At 37.0% G+C, this 25,657-nt stretch overlaps 1 protein-coding gene across 2 annotated transcripts in view; it reads left to right on the forward strand.

Annotated features, from left to right (window-relative positions):
• The window catches only part of PDZRN4 (PDZ domain containing ring finger 4), a 386,426-nt gene that overhangs the window by 224,115 nt on the left and 136,654 nt on the right, over window positions 1-25,657 (forward strand). The window contains exon 1 of one of the 2 annotated variants that reach the window (NM_013377.4): window positions 25,305-25,579. The exons of the other annotated variant lie outside the window; for it this stretch is intronic. Within the exon in view, the coding sequence (NP_037509.3) occupies window positions 25,511-25,579 (69 nt within the window). The 5' untranslated portion in view covers window positions 25,305-25,510. Of the gene's footprint in view, window positions 1-25,304; window positions 25,580-25,657 lie in introns of those variants that run through there. 2 annotated transcript variants of the gene reach the window in all.

The raw sequence follows: 25,657 nt of genomic DNA on the forward strand, positions 1-25,657 counted from the left end.
TATGGAGTCTTCATTTTGGGTAATCATGTGCCAGGTTAAAAGTTGGGAGTTCTCTTTCTTTGGAAGGAGAGACGGGTGATAACAGGTGACATTTATCAGTCTCTGTTGCAAAGATGTATAGATAAATACTCAGTAAACAAACAAAAAGGACGGTCAATATTAACTCCAGGGAAAACAAGACATTGTATAAGAAATGAAATATAATCAGAATGTTTCACATGATGTGGCTATGAATCATATATACATAGTTAAGATGATATAATTACTAAATATTGATTTAAATAAAAACTGCGATAGAACAATGAATACCAAATGCTGAAGGGGAAGTAAAATATCTAAATCCTCAATATCTATTTTATAATAGCCATAACTAGGCCAGGCATGGTGGCTCATGCCTGTAATCCCAGCACTTTGGGAGGCCGAGGTGGGCAGATCACTTGAGGTCAGGAGTTAGAGACCAGCCTTGACAACATGGTGAAACCCCATCTTTACTAAAAATACAAAAATTAGTCAGATGTGGTGGCATGTGCCTGTAATCCCAGCTACTCAGAAGGCTGAGGCACAAGAATTACTTAAACCTGGGAGGTGGAGGCTGCAGTGAGCCGAGATCATGCCACTGCACTCCAGCCTGGGCAACAGAGTGAGACTCCATCTGAAAAAAAAGAAAAGAATAGTCATAGCTAGATGTCCAACAATGGTGAATGGATAAGGAAAATGTGGTATACATACATAATGGGATGCTATTCAGCCATAAAAAAGAACAAAATCTTGTCATTCACAGCAACGTGGATAGAACTGGAAGACATGATATTGAGTGAAATAAGCCAGGAATAGAAAGTTAAAAATCATATGTTCTCACTCATATGTGGGAGCTAAAAGAATATTTTCATGCAATTAAAAAGTAAAACAGAAGGCACTAGAGGCTGGGAAGGACAGGGAGAAACAGGGGATAGGGAGGGATTTGTTAAAGTATATAAGAGATATAGCTAGATAAAAGGAATAAGTTCTAGTGTTCTATACCACTGTAAGATGACTATAGTTAATAATACTATACTATATAGTTTCAAATAGCTAGAAGGAGGATTGAATGTTCCCCATACAAAGAAATGATCAATGTTTAAGATGACGGACGTGCTAATTATCCTGATATGATCCCTATACATTATATGTGTTGCAGCACATATAATGTTTATTCATTGTGTACTGAATAAATATGTACAATTATTATTGTCAATTTAAATTTTTTAAATTAAAAATGAGTCTATGGGTGCCCTTATATGTGAGATGAGCCTTTGAAGACAGCAGATAGCTATGTCTTGTTTTTTTAATCCAACTTGCCACTCTCTGACTTTTAAGTGGGGTGTTAAGACCGTTTACATTCAAGGTTAATATTGATATATGAGGTTTTGATCCTACCATGAAGTTGTTAGTTGGTTGTTTCATAGTTTCTATTGTGTGGTTATTTTAAAGAATCTGTGGGCTATGTACTTAGGTGTGGTTTTGTAGTAGCAGGTATCATTCTTTCAACTCCATGTTTAGAACTCCCTTAAGATTCTCTTGTAAGACTGGTCTAGTGGTAATAATTTCCCTTAATGATTGCTTGTCTGAAAAAAAATTTATTTCTCCACTTACTCACTTAGTTTGGCAGGGTATGAAATTCTTGGTTAGAATTTCTTTTCTTTGAGAATGCTGAAAATAGGCCCCCAGTCTCTTCTGGCTTGTAGGGTTTCTGCTGAGAAGTCTGTTGTTAGCCTGACAGGGCTCCCTTTGCACATGACCTGACCTTTTTCTCTAGCTGCCTTTAAGATTTTTTTCTTTAGCATTAACCTTAGGCAGTCTGATGACTATATGCCTTGGTGATGCTCATTTTGTATAGTATTTGGAATGTGTTCTCTGGATTTCTTGCATCTGGATGTCTACTTCTCTAGCAAGATTAGGGAAATTTTCTTGAATTGGTTCCTCAAATATGTCTTCCAGGCTGTTTACTTTTTCTCTTTATTTCTCAAGAATGCCAATAATTTGTAAGTTTTGTTACTTTACATAATTACATAATCTCGTATTTCTCAGCAATTTTGTTCATTTTTAAAAATTATTTTCCCTTTATTTTTGTCTGAAAAAAATAAAAAGTATAAAAAGGAAAAGAAAGAAGGAAAACAAAGACGGATGTCTTCCAATAAATAATGTACAACCATCTTCAAATTAAAAAAATTATTAATATCTAAAACCTAAAAACTAAAAAGAGCTTACTTAGTGAAGCAGATAAGCATATATGAAATTTTTACAAAAATAATTAAAACTATGATAACTACCATGATGGAAAAATATAAAATGCTACAAAGATGTGTAGCAAACAAATAATATCATTTTGAGCCAGAGGAAAGGTGTCCCAGAAGTGTCATAGTAAAATGAGTAGGCATTTACAAGACAAAGAGAAGCGTTCTTTATTCACAGGGACTAGCAGAGCCAAAGGCCCTGAGATAGCAGAGTCAAGGGAAGAGCACATGTGAAGAACTGAATGAAAGCTGGTGACTGAAAATGAGCAGTATGAGCTCAGGCTGGAAAGAGAGGTTCTAATCATGCTGGACATTGCAAACAATGTTATGGATTCAGGTATTTGACCTTAAGACAGCCAGGAATTCAATACAGATTTAAAGCAGGGATGTAGTATGATCCTGTTTGTATATTAAAATATACCTCCATTGAGATGAGCCATAGAGAACTTGTGGAAAGTGTTGGAAGGGGGCAGGATATATGAGACCAGTTTTGTGCTGTTCGGTTAAGAGATGACACTAATTGCAGCCTAGTTGGATACAATAAAAAATGTAGACATATGGGTGGAATTGAAATATATTTAGGAGGAAAAGTCAATGGAAATTTATTATATATATGAAATAATATATATTACAAATATATGTGTAATATATAATATATGTAATAAATGTTATATATATATAACAAAGATATACATATCATTGTAATATTCAGTTACTGGTTCAGAATTTACTTTTTCCTCCTAGAGTATAGCAGTATATACTACCCATATATAAATAAAAATTGAATGAACAAACATCTTGGCCTATGAATAGGAAAATATTGACCCTGTCAAATTTCTAAAAGCTAACAATCTTTGTTGTAAAGCATCCAACATTTTGGTGAAATTCAGACTTTGGGGAAGTATTGTAGTTAAGTATAGAAATGTTTTTCTTCCGTATCTAAAGGAAGAAATTGGTTACCTTATGGTAGATAAAACATAATTATTTGGAAATGAGAAATTGTGTCCAGAAGGCATGCTTTGCCATAGCAACCTTAACATTGAGTTACAGTATGTCTTTCAGTTTTGCAAAGGGTAATTTATCATGGGAGGAATGTGCTGAATATGTCACATTTTACTATCTGCTTATTTAGTTAGATAATCAAGATCTTGACTCTTGAAATAGAATTATTCTAAGTTTTGTCTTATTTTCATGCTTGTGAATATAATATGTGTATACTTTACATTCATTTTAAATTTTAAATAGAATGAAACAGACTAAGTCTAGCTAGGACACACAGGACCTAGAAGCAAAACCATATTTCAGTTTTCTTCCATGACTTTACAACTGTGTGATTGATAGAGACCCAAATATTTCCTCTGAGATTGACAAATATTTTTCCCAAATCATGCCATTAAAATTTGAGGACATAAACATAGTGTAAATTGAAAAAGAGGATTTGAATTAAAATGTGAGCAAGTGTACAAAATTTATGTTCATATTTGTTCCTTTCTCTGTAGACATACATCCACTGTAGTTTAAAGTGTGGTAAGTAAATTTTTATTTTAGAGGTAACATTTTTCTTCTGTTGTAAATAAGAGAATCTTTTTCCTCTTTCTGAAAACAAAAAAATGGCGAAAGAAGGACTTTCTTTCTGATTAAAAACATTTGGTTTTGGCCAGGCACAGTGGCTCACACCTGTAATCCCAGCACTTTGGAAGGCTGAGGCCGGTGGATCACCTGAGGTCAGGAGTTTGAGACCAGCCTGGCCAACATGGTGAAACCCTGTCTCTACTAAAAATACAAAAAAAAATTAGCCAGCTGTGGGGGCAGTCACCTGTAATCCTATTCAGGAGGCTACTCGGGAGGCTGAGGCAGGAGAATAGCTTGAACCCAGGAGGCGGAGGTTGCAGTGAGCAGAGATCGCACCAATGCACTCCAGCCTGGGCAACAACAGCGAAACTCCATCTAAAGAAAAAAAGAAAATGGTCTTTTACTTTTCTCGACATTTATTTTTATATACAGCTAGAAATTTGGACAGATTTAGCCACAGGCGGTTGCTACAAGGAATGAATTGGTTTTCTTCCCTGGGTAGATGTTCTAGTTTTGTTCAAGTTGGTTCTGAAGTATGTGTAGGATTTGGTCTATTCTTAGATACTGCAGCAGGGTACTCCAGCTGAGTCCAAATATGTGTAAACTTTCCCCAGAACACTACCTTAATACTCCTTACTTAAAATCATCATATGCCTTTATGTTTAAATTTAGTGATAAAAGCATCTAAAGAATAGGTTCTTAAAGAAACTGGAATTTGACTTTCTGTATGATAGCCTTATTTTATGTTTGTAATACAACTAAAGAGGTAACCTCTGTTTATGGCTTTTAGATTTGGAATGTTCAGAAGAATTCCATAGCTTGGTCAGTTATGATTTCCTGATATTCTTACTCGGAAAGGAAATTGCCATATTTCCTCAAATCTAAAGAAACACATCTTTAGATATTTTTAACATTTTTGGAAATGTTTTTTAAAAGGCTTGTAATTCATACATGTCTTTAATGTCATAGTGTTTCCTTCCTCTCACCAAGCTGATATTAAATTGCCAGATGTTTTATAGGCAATGCCATCTTTGGCCAGAGAAAATTTGGTAAGTGCCATTGCTAGCACAAACTGAATAGCATTACCTAATTTCAAGGAGGACAATTGTCAAAATCATTGACAATGCTAATAGTTTAGGAGATTTATATGATGATGTTCTTCCTTAATTTAGCCACTATTTTAGTTTCACATTTCTCATTCAGTCATCCATCAGTACTTACTGAATTTCTGTTGTGTACCAGGCAGTATTCAAGACGCCAGGAACACAAAGATGATGCTTGTACTCCAAGATGTTGCAATACAGCAGGCCACTAAGGATGCAATGTCAGAACTCCTATTATAGCAATAATTACAAAGTAGTGAGAAAGTATAGAGAGGAGGCACTTGATTCTGCCTCAGAAAGAAGAGAAAAGCTCACAGAACTGGTAAACTTTGCATTCTCAGATAGGTGATGGTATTAAAGGTAGAGGAAATAATATGACCAGAAGTGCATGAGAATGTTGTAGAATGGCAAGACTATACAGTGTATGTTGGTTAAATAGAGAGAATTGAACTGTAAGGGAGAAGACACATTGTGTGGGTCTCAAGATTTCACCACACTTTCATATATATATAGACAAACAGTCTAACATGTTAACTCCCTTGATAGCCATGTAACACAAACTCCAATTCATTGTCTTATTGTTTATCCTTGCAACAAATAATCGTCTTTGCCTTACATATGCAACATACCACTTGTATAATTACAGGTTTGTATATTTTTATAAAAATACTGAACATTAAATGCAAAGTAGAATTTATGCAGTTCTAATAGGATTATTTTTCCTGCTTCTATGAGCATCTTTCTGCAGCAGATTATCATTTATTTGAATTTATAACTGACATTGACAAACAACAAAAGTATATTGATGTTGCATGTATTCACTTTTTAAAAATACTAACATGCTTTAAAATCTAAATTGAAAAACTTGGAAACATTGTTTTCATTCTACGGAACATTAATTGAAAGTAGAGTGTCATCCTAAATGAATCATTGTTATCAATTCTGCTGGTGCATTATCTGAAAAGCATAACTGGAAGAAATGTATTGTGATATACATTTTCAAACACTAACAAAGGCATTCCAGTTTACATCAAAACAAGGAAGTAATAGGAGGTAGTACCTACAGATACCAACCTTAAAAATGGCCCTAAAGTAGTTTTATTCCTAGTTTAAAAAGAAAATCTGAACTTAAAAAAAATGTGTGATCATGTTTTATGCAAATCTAAAAGCAAGCTTCATCTCTCTAAATAGTCATGACTTTGTCCTATTTTAAATGGTTAAATGGGAGAATCTGTGAGAGTCACTACATTTTGCCTGTGGCTACTTTTCTACCCTGAAATTTCAGAGTTTGTTGTTATGTAAAACAAAGCAATTTTCCTGCAGTCCTCCTTGGAGGAGAGCTCTGATGTATGAAGGAAGTGTTGATCTATTGCCATTTCCCTGAGCACATTCACCAGCAGCCAAGGGAAAAGGGTTTGGCTGGAGAAGAATCGTTGGGTGACCAGCGTAGGGTGTAGGTGTCAGCTGGGGGGTAACTGCTGTCTCAGATCAGCATCTAGCTGACAACCCACAGCCTGAGAACTAGTCAAATGTGACAAATCTCCCCTTGCAATTTGATGGGATGCCCTGCTTGGCTTCTCGTAGCCAGAAGAAGAAAAGCAGATTTCAGATTAAGGCTATGTAACTCCATTCAGAGATAAAGTAGGATTTTCCTGTGCTAATTTGTATTATTTTCCACAGGAAATGAGAGTGAAAGAGAAATCCTTTGTTAAATGGACTTTAGCAATAACCCTGTATTAGGAGCCTTTCTTTTCTCCTGGGCTTCTTGTCTTGAATACCTGTTTCATATCTGGTGTTTTGGTTTTATGCCTGTTTAAAAAGTAGGATGGCTTCTGTGAGAGTCACCATAAAGCTGGTTGGACAACAAAGTCCTTGCTGCCAAATCATGTGCTGTAATCCTGTTAAGTACCTGTACAATAGTGTAACAGCTGGTGCAGGCTGCAGTTGGTGTGTTAGTGTGCTATGTTGAGACTTGGGATCCATGCAGACAATGAGCTGGGTCGGCTTAGAACAGACCCAAGTGCCCCTCAGACAGCTGGTCCAGTAACTATACACTAGCCAATCTTGGGAGAGAGACTCATCAAATAACATTAATTTTCTTCTCTACCAGACAGTAAGGTAACCAAAGCCAGGTTGGTTGTGGTGCCTTGGGATTTTTACCTAATGATCTTCTGGAAAGCAGATGCATTGGCAGGAATTGTAAGCTTCTGAAAACCCAACTAGTATTACAGAGTAAACCTTTCTCACCATGGGGGTTTTACAGGAGTGGGGTACATTAGTGTTAGATCATTATAAAGTATTTTGCTGACTACTGCAGAATTAATGGCATTTTTATGGCTCTCGGTTAATGACTGTCAAGAAATAAGAGTCTATATCGGTTCAAATTGTAATTTTAAATCAAACTAGCCAGCTGTCAGATGCATGCAGCACATGCAGACGCCTTATTGGTAATATTTGGTGCTTCCCTTACATCCATCAGGCTATAAGATCATTGCTTGGAACTGCAATTGTTTTGCATATGCTTGATGTAAATTTTATCACAACAAAAGCAAAGCAAGTTGTCACTTCTAAGAGGCAGTTTCCATGTCCTTGAAGGAAACATGATTTTCTTCAGCATTAGAGTAACTGAAATTTTTGCTATTTATTGAGTACTTGATTTATTTATTTTTTGTTTTAGTTTAAGCTCAAGAAAACTATAACCTCACTTCCTGCATTACTGAGTGCAAGGATATCTGAAGTGAGTTCATTCAAATCTCTGTTCTTCTCACACTGCTAAATTGTCCATATCTTTAGTCAGAATTGTCTTCTGCCTAAGAAAATAAAATCTTCCTTCAATCAGTACCTAAATATTGCCTTTACTGTGCCTTTCCTCCTATCCACTCTCACCTTTTCTAGATTTGTACTCTGTCTCCCTTCAGCATCTTCAGCCTCTTCTTTCTTGAACTCATTCCTATTAGAAAACAAGCAAACCAATCCTTCCTTTGATCCTACTGTCTCCTAGAATTATCACATTAGCTCTGTCTTCTTGCCATTACAAACTTCTTGAAAGACTGGTTTTTGTCTGCTGCCTCCACCTCATTATTTGTCCCATTCCTCATTCAACTCGGCACAGCCCCCTCTGCCTTACTCTTAAGTAGCTCTCTCAAACATGACTGATACGTTCCAATCAATAAACCCACCTCTCCCTACATAGCTCCCCTGCCTGGTCTTCTCAGTCTCTCTTGACCCTACTGACAATTCCCTCTGTTTGAAATTATATTTCTGCAGATTTGCAACTCCCTTAACTCTTGTCTTTATTCTCTTGACCCTTCATCTTTTGACTTATTTTAAAATCTAGGGATATCCAAAAGCTCAGTTCTTGACCCTTTTTTCCTTCTATCTTTTTCTTTGAATGCCCAACTCACTGCCTCAGTTTTAAATACGTGTTAGTGATCTTCACATCCATATTATTATCTTTGACATCTCTATTCAAAATTTCAACTCCATGAATAACATCTTTGTTCTGAGAAGCACCTCAATCTCATCATACTCAACTCATATCTGTTTATATTCGCTATTCACGGTACGTCTTCCTCCTGACTTCATTATTTTTATTAATGATGTAGCCTTTAACCCAGACACTCAGTCTTGCAAATGCACTCACCATTGATTTCCTCCTATCACTTGCCAATCATTTGGCAAAACCTCTTGTTCCTACCTCTGTAGCATTTCTCTCATTTATTGCATATACCTCTTTTCAATTCCGTGTTCAAGACTGTTTACACACTATTGTAAAACATCATTACTTTTTATAATTCCTAATGTTATTAGACTACTATTTGTTTCTTTTTTTTCTTTTGAGACAGAATCTTGCTTTGTCACCCAGGAGTGCAATGGCATGATCTCAGCTCACTGCAACCTCTGTCTCCCAGGTTCAAGTGATTCTCCTGCCTCAACTTCCTGAGTAGCCGGGATTACCCACCACCACACCTGGTTGATTTTTGTATTTTAAGTAGAGATGGGGATTCACCATGTTGGACAGGCTGGTCTCAAACTCCTGACCTCAGATGATCCACCTACCTTGGCCTCCCAAAATGCTGGGATTACAGGCATGAGCCACCGTGCCCAGCCTATTTGTATCTTTTTGTTTAGGACTCTTGGAATGATAAAATAAATGTTGGCACTCTCTTACATGGAAACCTTTAGTAGCTCTTCATTACCCACTGCAGAAAGAACAAATACAGACCCTCAAAACTGTTCACCTAATAGTCAGTTTGATCTCTCCTGAGGGATTCCACACTTTGCGCCAGACTAAATTAAGTGTCACCCCTTTAATGTTCCCATTATTTCTTAAGTATGTAACTTGTTTCTTCACTATTTCTTCTACTAACAATTTTTCTTTCTCAGCCCCTCCATTTCTGTCTGCTAAATATATCCCATCTTATTATATTTTTCTGAAAAATAGTAAAGTATTACCAACAATAAAATACATGTACATGTATCATATGTTTATAAGTAAACAATATATAAAATAGATCTCTTGACAAGCTAATATCCCGCAGTGATTAGTATGTTGGAGCTCTACTGATAATTCTGTTTTGACGATTTATTTATTTAATTATTTAAGATGAGCAGAGTACCCACATGTGTCAGTAAATACTTGTTGAATAAGTAGATGAATTTAATGGATTGTTTTTAATTAGAGTCTCTTGGCTCATTATCTTGGTATTTCTTGAGGCTGACAGAGTTATCAATTTTGCTTTCATTTGTAATTTTATTCTCACTGATTTGTACACCATATCATATGCTATACCTAGGGAAATAGTTAAATGAATTTATGATTAAAGCAGAAAAAGAAGTCAATGCACACATAACTTATCTTCATATTACTAACTAATATTAGAAGAGAGTAGTGTGTATCTGTTCATTATATGGCAGAAATTGTGGAATATATCCTCAGTCAAATGAGCTGTGTGTCACAGGTACTGATCAGATTATCTGGCTCCCTTCAGTAAATTTGTGTTGGTTATCATTATTATAGTAAAACTCCACTAGAAATGGATATGTCCATTTTCACACTGCTATAAAGATACTCCCTGAGACTGGGTAATTTATGAAGGAACAAGGTTTAATTGACTCACAGTTCCACATGACTGGGGAGGCCTCAGGAGACTTACAATCACATTGGAAGGTGAAGGGGAAGCAAGGACCTTCTTCACATGGTGACAGGAGAGAGAGAGAGTGGATGAGGGGGAATGTGCCACACTTTAAAACCTTCAGCTCTCCGAAGAACTCACTTACTGTCAGAACAGCATGGGGGAAACGGCCCCCATGATCCAATCACCTTCCACCAGATCCCTCCCTCGACATGTGGGGATTGTAATTCAAGATGAGATTTGGGTGGGGACACAGAGCCAAACCATATCAAAAACCATTACTAATGTCCCAAATTTCATAAATATATACATACACATTAGTAATATGTGTGTGTGTGTACACACATATGCACACACAATGGAAATTTCTTTTGTCAATATGGCATTTATCCAAGACACTTGCAAAATGATTAGCCAAACTTCTATCCTCCAGTATCTTCCTTCCTTTTACATATGCTGATTCTGGTTTTACATGGCTCTTACCTTCTGATATGCTCTGTTCAGCACCTCCTCTTTGTTAGTTAAAAATTGGCAACACAGACTCAACTATAGTTTTTATTTCTTGAGTGTTGATTTTTTGTACTCCTCAGGAGTAATTTAAGTTAGATAAATCTTTTTTTATTTGCTGAAACTTTTTTTTTATTATACTTTAAGTTCTGGAGCACATGTGCAGAACATGCAGGTTTGTTACATGGGTATACACATGCCATGGTGGTTTGCTGCACCCATCAACCTGTCATCTACATTAGGTATTTCTCCTAATGCTATCCCTCCCCTAGTCCCCCATCCCCTGACAGGCCCCAGTGTGTGATGTTCCCCTCCCTGTGTCCATGTATTCTCATTGTTTAACTCCCACTGATAAGTGAGAACATGAGGTGTTTGGTTTTCGGTTCTTGCATTCGTTTTCTGAGAATGATGGTTTCCAGCTCCATCCATGTCTCCGCAAAGGGCATTAACTCATCCTTTTTTATGGCTGCATATATCTTTAACCTTCATTCTACTAAGACAGTTTTCCCAAAATTTTGCTGCATCTCTGAAATCCCATACCTTTAAACTTTTATGCATCACATTGTCCTATAACAGGCATACTGTCATAAAAATGTTGCCCAACTTCTGGTGTTAATTCCATATTCCTGAGTCTTTCCCCAAAACAGAAGTTTTCTGTTTATTTTGCCATTGGACTCCTACTCCCACTGGTTAAAAAGTTGATGTGAATTTGCCATTATGATTTTGAACAGTTAGTGATTGTAATCTTTCCAAATCATTCAGAAAGTGATAAGGCTATGGGGAGCTGGGGTAAGAAAAGATAGTTAATATATGAGGATCAGTCATTTCAGGTAATCAGTCCTATCAGCAGCACCATGAGGAAGAAGCTATAAACTCCATCTCACAAATGGAGAAACAGACTCAGAGTTAAACATGGTCTTGTAGTTCACGTTGTAGGGTTGGAATTTAAGCCCATGACTGTTGTATTCCAAAGCTCATATGGCTCCATTACTCTTGCCATGTTGGGAAGTTCCTCATGTTTTGGAAATGCCTGTTCTCTAAAAATTAATAAATGCTGTCCATTCTATGTCTGGTTTCCTGCAAGCCCTACTCTGCTTTGTGAAAAAATATTTATTGCTTGATAAGGAATTAGCTTAAACTACTTATGCAATATTTGTTTGCTATGCAGTTGCAATCTTAAGCCAGTTAAAATGCAAACTTCCTCTGAGAGTTCATATTTCTGAAACGGACAGTGATTTTGCTTCAAGGGATCTTTAGCTCTATATGACACACCATGTATATACTTAGTTTGATTATATAAAGCTTTCCTTATGTTGGATTTGTTCTCCCTTCATTCCAAACAAATATTGCATATGTATGATTAAACACATGATCTGATGAAAATTTGGATGGTGTGTAGAGAAACTTAACAATTTTTATACTGACATTACTGAATAATCATTCAATCATGCTAGATAACGTTGCTATATGTCTTTACACAAAATTGGTTGCTAGAAGCTATTATGACCTGTTACTTGGTTCAATGGATTGAATTTTTTCATGCTAACTATAATTTAAATATATTTGCTTAATACATGAACTCAGAAGTGTTTACTTTGAGTCTTAGTCATGCTAAGCTATGCTGGGGCAACAGTCTTCAAATACTTAGTAGTTTCATGAAGAAAAGGTGAATTTTTCCTTTATAAAGGGTTATGTGCAAGTCAGGAAGCTCCTCTGAGTGACTTTTCTCCAGATAGTGAGTCAGGGATCTATTTCCACTATGTGACTTTGTTACATTGGTGGCTTATGCTTACAAGCCTGGAGTGAGTGGAGAGAAAGACTGAGAGCAGCAGATGTAAGAGGCCAGGCCTGACAATGCTCTTGCACTTCTGCCCATAACTAGTTGACCACAGCTTGTCATATCACCCCACTTAGATACAAAGACATTGGCAAACATTGTCTTCTGGGGCTGGGAAAAGAAAATAGGTCAGTTGATATACCACAAAGACTCTGACACAATTAGGAAGATGGCATGGATCGAAACAACATTCACAACATATGATTAAAAAATAAAATACTTTCAGTAACAGGCTTTTTAATAGATTAAAAGAGAAAAATAAAACGATCAATTTTAAATAAATTATTATACCAGGCAATGCAAATGATTCCATTGATTTGTTTTTAAAACTTAAAACATTATGTTGGTACACGAACACACACACTCAAACAAAATTAAAAATGAAAGACCTAAAAATAAAGTTAACTTTCTAACACAAGTGAGGAAACAAGCTGGTAGGAAGGTAACCTAGAAGCTGGGCATTATCTAGTATGGAAGGTGGAAGTATAGCCAAGGAGTAGGAGGAAAGCTCAGCCCTTCCTACACACTGGGGCAGAGAAAATTCAAATATATTGGCCTAGGAAAGAATCCAATGTCCCAGGAACAACTGGACAATTTTTTCTTACAAGTAATGTTCTGTTACATGCCAGATGGTGTTCCTGTACAGAATTTCCACACCAATGCATAAAGGAGAGGTCTTCAAATATAATTGTGTTTTTCTCCAAGCATCTATGAGAATAAGACACCAAATATAAGGACTACTGTCTCCTGTGCTATAAAATAAAGCCAGAAAAAAAATATGTCCACATTCACACTTGAGTCAGAGGATTCACTTTTTATTCAACTTAAGCAAACAACTAGAAAGCATTTCATCAGGAGTTATGCAAATACTGTGTAGTTGATCTAATTCAGTCAATAGCAATTGCGGATTTTTAATGGGTCTTCTTTAACCTACTAAAGCCTATCAAAATATAGTGGGTTCAGTATTAATGAGATGATTTCCCATAATGTACAACTTATCAAGCAAAAATATAAATCCATCCACTCTTCTAAAATATGTGATTTCTCTTTTGATTTCCAGTATCTCTAGACACCAAGTTCAACCTGTCTGGAGCTTAGTTGCTTACGGTTGAAATCTGTTTCATGAGGAGCAGAAAGTAGTGATGATAAAGCACTTAGGGCATTTGAGATGGAAATTGCAGTTTCAAGTTAGAATTTCTAAAATTGTTTTTGTTTTTAAATCCATCAATGTATAATGCTTCTTAGTTAAGCTGAGGTGGACCCTGAAATCTAATAACTAAATCCACTGGGAAAGGACCAGACATATCCAAGACAGATCCTGTTACCCAGTAAACAGCATTTAATTCTCTTTGCCTGTCACCAACAGCTGGGCCAATTGCTGTCCCACCAGTAGATAGGTTCGGTGGGGGCTTCTTTATGCCCAACCCATAACTGATCCTAGAAGCTAAATCCCAGCCTGTCCCACAGGTCTAGTAAGAATTTACTCACCTTTACATCCCATAGGTAGGACATGTCTGGTAAACTACACAAGGAAACAATGACTGATTCAAGACCACCTCTACCACTGACTCTTCATTCATGGCATGCAGGACCAAAGATGCTATGCTAAATGAAGTGGGTCCTCATGGGAAGAGTATATCTTATTGAAAAAGGCATGATCTTAGAATCAAACCTATTTGTATTTAAATGCCAGCTTCTCCATTCAATTAACAGTGTGACTTTGATCAAATTGCACAATATTTTGAACCTGAGTTTTTAAATGTGAAAATGCACATCTTAATAGAATTTTTTTGAGATGTAAAAAACTTTAGATAAAATAGGTGTTTCTTAAATGTTAGTTTCCTTTTCAAATTAGTAACAGATCCAGTAATCTTCATAATCACAAAAGTTAGCATATCAGAAATTATAATGATGTGAGGCATTCAAGAATTTGTCTAGTTTAATACCTTACATGTAGACTTAGAAGGAAGGAATGGATGCACACAAATGAGTTTTCTGTGGGATGCGTAAAAATGCATATTCCCAGGCCCATCTCAGATTTGCTATGAATAACTCAGAAGCCCTAGGAATTGAGCTTGTGCACTTGCAACTTGAAAAATCTTCCCAGCTGATTCCTACACACACCCCTAGTTAAGTGCTATGGATCTAGAAGCCAGCATAAAGTATGGTGAATAGGAAGTTCTCAGCAAACATTTGCAGAACTTGGATGGTCCATGTCTTAGCCCAGTTTCTACCTCCTGTAACCATATGGCTGTTTTCTGCTTCTCCCTGGCTGCCAGTCACTATGACACCAACCATTTTTATCTTAAAGGAATTTAACTGCTCCTGGAGAAAAATTGATGCTCCAAAGTATCCATCTAGACATTTGCCAAAATATAGACAAAGGAATAATATGGCTGCCTGTTTTTTGGAATATTTTCACAATGCTAGAATTTAGACACTTTGGCAAGGCTATATTATAAGCTATAACATATTAACTAATATTTATTGAACACGTACATGCAGCAGGCACTGGGTAAAGTTCATGTTCGTAAGACCCCTTTGTGGTAGGTACTATGAATATCCCTATTTCATAGTGAGGAACTGAGGCATTTCAGCACACCTCAATGTGTAACTTGTTCAACTTCATACAAGTTTTTTAGAGTGAGGCTCAAATATACTTCTAGATTACTTCAAAGTCTAACAAGCATCCGAATACATGCTCATTCTGATGATAATGTGTCCTGGGCCAGAATGTGTAATGCAATTAAACATTCTATATTATCAGTTTCACAGAAATTAATGGATATTAACATGTCGATTTTTTGGTGCTAATGTTTTAGACAACCATATGAGGACCATTTTCATGATGGAAAAAAGTGGGAATTGAATGATTTAGGTCTGAAAATGCAAGGAACACAACAGAGAAGGGATTTTCTAGGATCCCGAAGGTTGAGAAAACTTCAGGTCCTGACCACCTGGCGCAGACCTGTAATCCTAGCAATTTGGAAGGCTGGTGGGCAGATCACCTGAGGTCAGGAGTTCCAGACCCACCTGGTCAACATGGTGAAACCCTGTCTCTACTAAAAATACAAAAATTAGTTGGGCATGGTGGCAGGTGCTTGTAATCCCAGCTACTTAGGAGGCTGAGGCAGGAGAATCGGTTGAACCCGGGAGGCAGAGGTTGTGGTGAGCCAAGATTACGCCATTGCACTTCAGCCTGGGCAATAGAGTGAGACTCCATCTCAAAAAAACAACAACAAAAACAAAACAAAACTCGTCTCTTTACTTCCTATCCCACTACCTGCCTACTTTTTTTGATTTATCTGTACTTGGTTATATATATGCATGCATATAAGCAGGCAGGGAATAAAGCAGACAGGAAAGCACATTCCAGGCTCTAGAATATCTAAGAAGGATGATCTGGTTACTCCCTATTATACCACCCTGTGTTAATTTCCTGTGTTGACCCTGTTATTGTCTGGAAATGTTATATAACCATAGCTTGTGTTTACTTATGCTTTCTTCTCACAATAATGTTTGCTCCATGAGATCTGGGACCTTTATATACCTTGACTACCATTATAATGACTGAATATTTGAGCAGAATCCAATGTTGAGAGAGGAATGAACATGTATTGCAGTACCAGATAGAACTGTCCACACTCTAAAAAAAGAGAGAAATATACCAAAAAGACAGAGTCATGTTAGCAGAGTTGTAACCTTTGCTCTTAAAGCAGAAATTTCTGTTTTGTGTTCTCTTTTGTGTACATGCACGTGTGTGTGCAAGTGTATATGTATGTGTGTATGATAGCAAGAGTGAGCAAGAGTGAGAGGAGTTGCGACCAGGGAATCAGGGGCAAGATGGGCTTACAAATGTGTGTGTGTAGGCAGAGAAGAGCAAGAAATCAACAACTTGCTCCTCACACCATTAGAAACTCCAGACGCTCATGAGCGAATGCAAGACCTGGCTGAGAGAAGATGATATCCTGAATCTAGGAAAGTGGCATAGGAGAGGATGAAATGAAGGAAGGAGAGACTGCACAGTTCAGATTGACAGGGCCTTGTCACTAGATGTAGGGAGAGGGAAGAGCCAAGGCAATGCTCAAACCTCAAACTTGAGTGCCTGAGAATAGTCAGGCCATTCTGTGATATGGAGAACGTGTGGAGAAACAGTTATGGGGGAAAAGAACCATGAGTTAAGTTTTGCTAGGTAGAATTTAATATGTTTTTAATAGTCCCAATGGAAACGTCAGTGGTCAATGAATTGATGGGTCTGAAATTAAGAGGGAAATTAAGTCTGGAGATATATATTTAGAGTCATCGGTAAATCTCTACCTTTACTTTTCTTAAAACCTCCAAATTTACCTGCCTTAAGTAGCTGTTGATTATTCCTTAAAACAGAGATGTAAAATGACTGCCCTAATATCAGCCCATATATTGCCTACCATAATAACTACCAAGAAGGAAAAATATTCTACAGTTATCAGTACATATTCAATGCAGCAGTACCCAATCACCAGTGGAGTGGAGTAAGGTTATGAAATTGCTTAGGTTTTATTCAATCTGTTTTATGTAGCCATGCTTGAGGACACAACAGGGAACCTGGAAGTTAATTTTAGACTACGATTCCAGTCCTTGGGGAAATCCTTACATCTCAGTGTGCTGTGAGCATCACCAGAATTCCTTCTTCTGGCCCTCTAGGAATTTGTCATAATGATGACTGTCTCTGAGTGACAGGCAATGGAAAGTACTGGTTAAGTAGTAGATGCAGATTGTTTGGGTTTGAATCCTGGCTCCCTCATTTACTACTCATGTGACCTATTTACTTCCCATGCAGAGAGGATATATTAAGAGTGCACATCTCAGAGTGTTAATGTGGGAATTAAATACAATGAATACCATATAGTGCTGGAACAATGGCATACAAAATGTACTAAATAGGTGTTAGCTCTTATTTTTTAAAATGTCTACGTATTATCACTGCTGTACTTACACTACTATTCAATAAATACTGGTTGAATGAAAGTTTGTACTGAGCTTTACTAGACCACTTTTGCAGAACTAAAAATAGTGATAGTAGCATTCAGTGGAAACCCTACATAATACCTGTGATGTTGCTGAATGGTGTGACATTATCCAAACATGGTACCTTGGCCTCTATATGATCAAATAAATAAAGCCAACTTTATACGGGGCTAGATTAGTAGTCGTGACTAGACCAAAAGAAATGTCACTGGACTCCCTGTTTTATGATTGCAAGAAATCTTGCTTCAGATGCCATTATTGGTTTCTAGTACACTTATGTCTTCCTTATTCACACATTGTGCATTAAAAGAAACAAATAGGCCAGGCACGGTGGCTCACGCCTGTAATCCCAGCACTTTGGGAGGCCAAGGTGGGTGGATCACGAGGTCAAGAGATCGAGACCATCCTGGCCAACATGGTGAAATCCCTGTCTCTACTAAAAATACAAAAATTAGCTGGGTGTGGTGGCATGTGCCTGTAATCCCAGTTACTTGGGAGGCTTAGGCAGGAGAATTACTTGAACCCAGGAGGCAGAGGTTGCAGTGAGCCGAGATTGTGCCACTGCACTCCAGCCCGGTGACAGAGCGAGACTCCATCTAAAAAAAAAAAAAAGAAAGAAAGAAATAGAATATGAGAATTATTACTCTGTATGTATTACATTCTTTATATAGAAAAGAAATAGAGGGGTGTGTGTGTGTGCATGCATCACATTTACACAATGAGTACTTCTGTGCAACTATTTCTGTTATATAAAGAACTAGGAAACAAAAAGCCTTTTAGAAGTTGTTGCACAGTGTACAATGGCAAACAAGGTGAACAGAAGTATAAAATTTCAAACAATGTAATAGAGATTTAACATAACAAAAATTGTAAAGATAAATCATGTATTAGTCTGTTCTCATATTGCTATAAAGAAATACTTGAGACTGGGTAGTTTATGAAGAAAAGAGGTTTAATTGGCTCACAGTTGTGCAGGCTGTACAGGAAGCATAGAGGCTTCTGCTTCTGTGGAGGCTGCAGGGAACTTTCAATCATGACTGAAAGCAAAGGGGGAAAGAGGCATCTCACATGGTGAGAGCAGGAGCAAGATGGGAGTGGTGCTACGGACTTTTAAACAACCAGATCTTGTGAGGACCCTCTCAGGAGAACAGTACCAAGGGGATGGTGGTAAACCATTCATGAAGTTGGTAAACCATGATCTAATCACCTCGCACTAGGCCCCACCTCCAACACTGGGAATTACAATTTGACATGAGATTTGGGTGGGGACACAGATCCAAACCATATCAACTTGGAAATTGAAAATGAAAGTCATCATTATCATTATACTTAGTCCTGTGATTACTAATGGCCAACAAGTATTGGGCACATACGTACTCTGTGCCAGGTATACTTGACACAAATTATCATCACAGCAAGTTCATCTCTTGCAATAATTGTATAGTAGGTGCTATTATTATCCCTGTTTTAGAGACGAGAAACCAAGAAACAGAGAAGATTGAAAAAACAATAATGATTTGCCCCACATTACATCAATAGAGATCAGGGAAACTGAGACTTGACCCAGGGCACACTGACTCCAGAAACCATGCTTAACCAGCACGCCAATAGGACAGAATACTTCATAGTTCATGAATCTTCCTCAGGTCTGTTACCTTATTTCGTCTTCACAGTCAGCCTGTAGGGTAAGTGTTATCTCAGAGCATGTAAGTTGTACAAGCCCACACAGGTGACAGTGACAAGGCTCAGATGAGAAGCCTAGTCTTCTTCTTTGAAATGTTATGCTCTTTCTTTCCATTGGAGTCTAGTCTAATAATGTTTGTGACAACTCTTAGGAGTTCATAAGTTGGTGAGGCACTCTTCATTCTGCAAGCAATAACTAAATGCAAATTGAAGATGTTCAACTAGTGAACACAGTGAGGAAAGGATGCTTGCTTACACATTGATCTGTTGAGCTATAACCAAGGAGGGGATGACACATGGGAACTATTAGCAGAAGCATCTTTCTAAATTCATGATGTTAGTTAATGTTGCACAGTGCTGTTAAAAATAAAACTAGATTAGAATCAAAAGGCAAAGTTCTAGGTTTTCCAGCATTAGAAATCTCAACATCTAATGATTTCTGTATTAATAAAGGACAATATCTGACATCTTTACCTCAGAGATAGAGTGAAAATTAGATGATATACAACTACAAAAATCTGGCATTCATATACTACCAGACATATGATAAGCACACAGTAAATATTTGTGAAATAAATAAGTGAATAATTTGCTGATATGTAGAGCAGAACGTGAATTTAAACGTACAGATAGTGTATACACATAAATACACAACTGACAAAGCACATTTGAATCATACAGTACTCATTTATATACCTGTCACCGATGTTTTTCTTTCATAGACTTTCAAATTTATGTTTATGGATTTGAATCAAACTAAAAATGGTTTATGTTCATGGCCTTTCAGCCTTTTAACTTAATATTCTTGAATACTAAGAATATTCTTTAATATTCTTGAAGCAATCCTATGGGGGAAAATGTCATATAGCAATTAGTCATTGCTAATGTGTGTTACAAACATAAATTTATGTCAATTTGCCCAACTCAGGCATGCTGTCATCCCCCAGTTACACTCATTAATTCAATATATGTTTATTAAAGGCACAGAATGTGAAAGGTACAATTCTATGAGTTTTGGGGGCTCAAAGATCAATTAAATGTTAATGTTGCTCTTACATGTCTTATAGTCCAATAAGAGAGGTAAAGCATGCATCTAAAAATGATGTGAAGGAGAAGTAATTTGTGCCTTCAAATAGGTAGGGATAAAATGCACCAAGAATTCAGAAGTTGAAGAAGTTACTGCTAGCTGATGGGATCAAGGAAGAAGGAGCCTTTAAACTGGACAATTGGGTGGATAGTTTAATTTGTGGGGTTTCCAAAGAATAAGCAGAATGAGGTAACATCTGGAGCACAGGTAGGGAGATGTAGACGTGTATAGAGCAGTTCAGCTTTGCTGGAGCCTGAAAAAAGAATCGTGTATTCAAATGACCGGTTTGTGCAGAACTAAGGAATTCAGGATTTAAAACTTTCAGTGCCAAAACCAACAAAGTCCCAGGCATATGAAGATAAGCTGGTCATCCTAGTGTGTGTTCAGGTACAGCTCCTAATTACTGATTATTGTGGGACATTAGCTGATAAAAGATATTTAGCTGTGACATTCAAAAAATTTCAGCATTTTAATACATAAAGTTTACATCTTTAACCACAAGCCATTCCCTTTATTTTAAGCTACATCTGTCTTTGAAAATTTATTCTCTTTTATTTTCTTAAATTTCAGCACTTTCAGATGCTTTCCTCCATTTCCTCAATCATCAAATAAAGACATGTTCGTGTAGCTCTAGCTTCCTCTGCAAGAAAGACAGCTCAGGATGTTAGAGATTGAATTCCACCACAGAATTTGTCGTTGGAAAACTGAGTTCAGATGTCTTTACTCAGGTTGACCTTCCACAAGTCACAGTCTCTCTGGGCCTCAGGTTCTTTGTCTTTATGATTACATAGAAGGTATTTAACTGCAGAAAATGTTAGGCAGCTACGTGTCTACTAATATTCAAAAGCACGTAAGTATCTCCTGAAATGAATGCAGAACTGGGACTAGAAATTTGTAAGCCACATGTCAAGGTAGGTGGCAGGCAGAGTTGGAAGATCTGCATGTGATAGTGGCAAGGGTAAAGAGAGGGTAATCAAGCGGAGTTACGTACGGAACTTCCACACTGGCACAGGAAAAGAACACTGGAGTCATTGCAAAAGGCATAAGCAAGCCATCATCTGAAATTTATGACAGCTGTCACAGGCTCAATGGGATTGGTGATTCAGAATAGGCTCACTTGGATTTTCTATTCCTTTCTTGATAAGGGGCACAATTATGTACTACATTGGCAGCCAGGGATGAGACATAGGCACAGCCTCTTTTGTAAATTAGTCTTTTTGAAGTCTTATTGTTAAATATAACAAAAATATAGAAAACACCAATAACAAATGTCAGTTTAATGAATAGTAATGTGACCACCTAGGAAAACTACTGCCCCTATCAGGAGTTAGAACTTTGCTGGCCATGATGAAACTTTCTGGTGTCCCTTCCTAAAGAGTAACCACCATCCTGACTTTTTTGGTAATCATTTTCCTACTTTTATTTAGAATTTTATCAACCAAATGATATGTATATGTGAAAATATAGAGTAATGACCTTTTATTGTTATTAAAATCTTTTTAAATCTGTAGACTTCCTCTTCGTCTTCTCTCTCTCTTTCTCTTTTTATCTCTGAAACTGGAATATGCACCTGTCTATGTAGTGTTGCTCACAGTCTGAATTTAGCTGATTGCATCCCCATGGTTTAGCTTAATATGCTCCTCTGTTCTCTGCATTCGCTGACATTTGCTCACATTTGAAAAGGCTAATTTAAGGGCCGTGTAATTTTTCTGTCTCAGGTGGCACATATTGTACACTTATCTCGTGTGTGTGTGAGTGTGTCATGCTAGACACCATTCATTCACAGTACTTAGATCCTTGAATGAATTAAGGACTGCTGGCATGACAGTCTATCATTTAATCTTCAATTATTAGTCAGAATAATTCTATAAAGAGAAACTCCCTCTCATCTACTCTTTTGCTACTCAGTAGTACAGTTTATATGGAAAAAGCAAGAAAAATGTTGGATTCCTTCCTTTCACTTGCCAGTTTAGCCTCTTATACGTCAGTCTAGATCTTGACAAATGTGTCCTATTTTGAATGCCAATAAAATTGTGTGGAGTAAACTCACACAAATTAAAGGCATTTAAAATAAGTAACTATATCTTGAAATACACACACGACTTATGTTTTTACATTTTGATGAGTTTATTTTCTAAGGATACTTGGAAAGATAGTTCTTCATTCCCTACTTATTTTTTATCCCGTATTATTATTGCCCAAGACAGATAATATCTGCTCTATTTGCATTTTCAGGGCAGTGTTCAGATGAATGCTTTTGTCCCTGTCTACTTCTAACTTTATGCTCCAATGCAAGATTTAGTTATTGGAAAACTTAACCATCATATTCTAATGAAATTTAGAGAACTCTGGAATTATGAATCTCCCTTTTCCAAGTCACTCTTCAGTTCTATAGGATGAGTCCATTAGAAGCAGAAGGTAGAATCTCTCCAGGGTAAATGGGCCAAGGGCAGCATTTGATACATGATTGGAAAAGCTGCCCTTGCTTCCTGAGATAGAAACACAAGAATAGAGGGATTAGGAATGAATAAAGAAAACAGCCAGGAGGAGCTGCTGAAGGGTGAGCTTCTATTTGAACTTGCTTACTTCCCTAGAATGTTCATTCTATACTTTTTGATAAATAAGAAAATATTTTTAAAGCTATGATTGTTTCATTGTTCTTTAAATGCAAACTGCATTTACAGAGAAGAGAGCTCCAATAAGAAGCAGTTTTGATAATTAAATTTCTTACTTGGCTTTCATAACCTATCACACAAGAGAGTTTTATCAGTGGAAAAAGCAAACATTTTCATTGATAGAAGGGTGAGCCATCTTTGCCTTACTGCACTCTAATTCCTTGATCTGACTTTTAAAAAAATACAGAGTATGGGCTGGGTGCGTTGGCTCACGCCTGTAATCCCAGCACCTTGGGAGGCCGAAGCAGGCAGATCACGAGGTCAGGAGATCGAGACCTTCCTGGCTAACATGGTGAAACCCCGTCTCTACTAAAAATACAAAAAATTAGCCAGGCATGGTGGCACACACCTGTAATCCCAGCTACTCAGGAAGCTCAGGCAGAAGAATCGCTTGAACCTGGGAGGCAGAGGTTCCACTGAGCCAAAATGGCACCACTGCACTCCACTCTGGGCAACAGAGCAAGACTCTGTCTCAAAAAAGTAAAATAAAATAAAATAAAATACAGAGTATGAACATCTGAGAATCAATAATTCTTCCACAACTCAGCAATTTAGAATCCTTCAAAGAAATAGTCAATGTTTGCTTTGAGGATGTGAACTCTAGCATGAGAATACTTCATGGGAAGTGATATAGAGGCTTAGAGAAGTTAAAACTTTCAAAAGCATCAGACATTTATGTTTTACAGTTGCACCTGAGAAGAAGGAGATTGCTTATGTTTGTGGCCACCATGAATTTTTATAAAGGCCACTTCAAATACCTTTTTGAAAACATTCTTTCCATAGAGGAATCAAGTCCTAAAATTAATATCTCCTACAAGTGGTTTCTAATTTGCTAGAAGTCCTGGAGAACTTTTTTCACACACACTGTTCCCAATTATGATGCCACTTTCATGTAGGTCTCTCAGCTTGGCTTTCATCCAGGCTGTTAGGTGAAATTAGGCCCAGAAAATCGGATTATTACATCCCAAGGGAAACAACTGATAAGCAGCAGATGATTGTTCATCTCCTTGCTACTTGCTGGTGTTGAGGTGTTGCTAGTTGCAAAGCCAATTTGTTAACAATTAGTGCTCATTAGAATCATTTCCTGTTATCGATTCTAAACATGTGACAAAGCACTTTTAGGAAACTGGACCCCAAAACGTAGCTATTCGTCAGTGATAAGCAATTAAAAATCTCAAGATCCAGTGTAATTCCTAACCAGAGTCGTCAGTTTCCAAGTAATTATTTTTGCTTTGGAACCCACCTGCTATCCTGTCCGGTTTAAAGATGTGCTGGAACAAGGACATACTTCTTAATTAGCAGAGGGTGTGGATAAGTCAGTGTGGGAACAAAAGGAATTTTCTTTTATTATCTGCTTTAGCTGTTTGTAGTATATCTTTAAGGGACAAAAACTGCCAGCTTGCAATACAACACATGTATTTGCAAGAGTGTGAAATGAAATGCATTACTTCTGTTATCTAAACATCTAAGCTTAGTTTTTAAGTCTCTGTTCACCTTTGATCATTATGAACTCTAAATATAGAATCATAAATGGAGTCATTGTGCATTACATTCAAGTTTAACTATTGCCAGTATCAGCTTTGTAAAATATTATATATGACTTTAATAAAATTAGCATAAATACTATAAGCATTTGAAATTTTTCTTAGAAAAGGCATTGTGTTGATCTACTTTTTGAATACAAATCTACATGCGTTATATGCTACAAATATATACTCAATAGATGGGCCTTCATTATCTAATTAAAATATTAATTATCTGTACAAGTATCATCTGCTAATACTTGCTAAATATTCTTTAGAATTAAGAGAATATCCCTTATTTCCTCCTTAGTAAGTAATGGTCTTTACATATGAACTATTCAGTTATTTTTGTAGTATCAGAATTAAAACTGAATGATGCCCCTGCCTTCTCTTCCTTTTCCATGTCACCCCCCCAAATTTCCTTTGCTTCTGTGTTTATTTTATAAATGTAAATAATTATCCCTACTCATTTTCCCCTAGGTTTAATAATGCTAAAAATATTTCTCCTTCTTGTTGCAGAGCATGGATATGTAAACTAAGTATATTTCTGTTTCTGAATTTCTTATTCCCATATTAAAAGCTTATATCAATGGAGAAATTAAGTGTATGTTTTTTTTCAAATGCCCTATATGCAACCCCTCTATCCTTAATAAACAGAGATGGTATTGACACAAGTGAATTTTGTTTAACCACACTACATTTGCTTCTTAATTAGTGAATATTCATCTGTCATCAGCAGCAGCTATGACACCCCTCCCTGCTAACATGTTCTGTCATAAATAATCAATGAGGCACTATTAATATTCATGAGCTGGAATCTGTGTAGTCATGTGCACTGATGCAGAGACGGGGGAGTGTTGCCATGAACTGACTGGAAACTCTGTGTGTGTATCCGTGAGTGCAAGATACTTAGGGAAAGCGAAGAAGAGCATGCTGCTACACACCACTCTGGCTTACGCTTCCAGCTAACAGCGGTTTGTCTGTGTTTCTGGACTGAAGTGACTGATGAAAAACAGTAGTCAAGTCTGGAGGGTGATTCCCTTTCAGTTCACTTGCCTTTCAGTTCTGGGGAAATTAGAAGATTTGCTCTCTCTCTCTGCTTCTTAGAATGGGCTGCAATTTGTGCACTTTTCAGAAAAGAGAGGAACACTACAAACTGCTGTATGAAGTTTCCCAGGTGAGTGCAGGGTCTGATACCAGCAACTAAGAGCCAGGCTTTGTGTTTGTCTGAAAGACGGTAAATGAATTCTGGCTA

The sequence above is a fragment of the Homo sapiens genome, chromosome 12 (genome assembly GCF_000001405.40).
Source record: "Homo sapiens chromosome 12, GRCh38.p14 Primary Assembly".
NCBI classification, from domain to species: domain Eukaryota; kingdom Metazoa; phylum Chordata; class Mammalia; order Primates; family Hominidae; genus Homo; species Homo sapiens.